The 1,710-nt window shown below is 43.5% G+C and overlaps 1 annotated feature.

Annotated features, from left to right (window-relative positions):
* Positions 655 to 1,290: an enhancer, noted in NCBI's record as "NANOG hESC enhancer chrX:80820164-80820799 (GRCh37/hg19 assembly coordinates)". NCBI's record gives its function as "activates a minimal SCP1, AML or CMV promoter by ChIP-STARR-seq in naive H9 embryonic stem cells {active_cell/tissue: H9 hESC(naive)}" and the evidence as "EXISTENCE:reporter gene assay evidence [ECO:0000049][PMID:30033119]".

Here is a 1,710-nt window from a genome sequence, read left to right as displayed (position 1 = left end):
CTGATATTGCAAAATGCAATTGTGCCTTCTCAACAGTCCCCTGAGTTCTTATCCCATTCTAGCATCAACTCAATTAAAAGTTCTGAGTCCAAAGTCCAAAGTCTCATGTGGAAATTAGTCCCTTCTACCTACAAGCCTATCAAATCAAAACAAATCATTTATTTCCAAAATATAATGGGTGTAAAGGCATTGGGTAAACATTCACACTCCAACAAGAAGAAATTGGCTAAAAGAAAGTGGCTACAGTCCCCATGTAGGTCTGAAACCCAGTAGGGCAGTCATTAAATCTTAAAGCTCCAAAATAGTCTCCTTTGACTCTGTGTCGCACATCCTGAGAACAGTGACATGAGAGGTAGGTTCCCAAGGCCTTGAGCAGCACCACTTCTGTGGCTTTGCAAGGTGCAGCCTTAGTGGCTTCTCTCGCAGGTTGGAGTTGAGTAATTGTGGCTCTCTAGGCACACTGCCAGTGGATCTACCATTCTGAGGTCTAGAGGGCAGTGGTCCTACTCCCACAGATCCACTAGAATGTGCCCCAGTGGTGACTCTCTGTGGGGGCTCCAACCCCACATTTCTCCTCTGTACTGCCCTAGTAGAAGTTCTCTGTGAGGGCTCTGCCTCTGCAGCAGACTTCTACCTAGGAAATCAGGCTTTCTCATACATCCTCTGAAATGTAAGTAGAGATTACCAAGCTTCTTTCACTCTTGCACTGTGTGTTCCCACAGGCTTAAAACCATGTGAAAGCTGCCAAGGCTTATTGCTTGCACTCCAGACTTGAGACCTGAGTTGAACCTGGGTCTGGCTTACCCACAGCTGGAGTTTGAGTGGCCATGATGGGAGTAACAGTCTCCTGGGGTGGGGCAGGGCTGTGGTGCAGTGGTGCACTGGGCCTGGCCCCTGAAACCATTCAGTCTTCCTAAGCCTCAGGGCCTATGATGCAGCAGGCTGCCTAGAAGATCCCTAAAACGCTTTGGAGGCCTCTTTCCCATTGTCTTGACTATTAGCGCTTGACTCCCTTTCAGTTATGCAAATTTATCTAGTAAATGGTTGCTTCACAGCCTCCTTGGATTTTTCCCCTGACAATACTTTGTTTTTTCTTTGCCACAAGGCCAGGCTGTAAATTTTCCAAACTTATATATTCTGCTTCCCTTTTAAATATAGGTGCCAACTTTAGAACATTTGTTCGCTCCTGCATCTGAGCATAGACTGTTAGGAGCAGCCATGTTACTTATTATACATTTTGATAATTAGAAATTTTCTTCACCAGATACCCTAAATTATCACTCTGAAGTTCAAACTTCCACATTTCCCCAGTGCATGCACACAATTTAGCCAACTTCTTTGCTAAGGCATAACAAGGGTGACCTTTGCTCCATTTCTTTTTAGGTCCCTCATTTCCATTTAAGAACTCGTCAGCCTGGACTACTCTGTCTGTATCATTGTCAGCATTTGAGTCACAACCATTTAACCAGTCTTTAAGAAATTGCAAACTTTCCCACATCTTCCTGTCTTCTTCTGAACCCTCGAAACTCTTCCAACATCTTCTCACTACCCAGTTTTAAAATCACTTTCACATTTTCTGATGTCTTTATAACAATGCCCTACACATCTGTTCCAATTTTCTGTGTTAGGCCATTCTTGTGTTGTTATAAATACCTGAGATTGGGTATTTTATTTTTTAAAAAAGAGGTTTAATTGGCTCATGGTTTTGCA

This window comes from Homo sapiens, chromosome X (assembly GCF_000001405.40).
Source record: "Homo sapiens chromosome X, GRCh38.p14 Primary Assembly".
NCBI classification, from domain to species: domain Eukaryota; kingdom Metazoa; phylum Chordata; class Mammalia; order Primates; family Hominidae; genus Homo; species Homo sapiens.
This window is presented reverse-complemented; position numbering and strand designations above follow the sequence as displayed.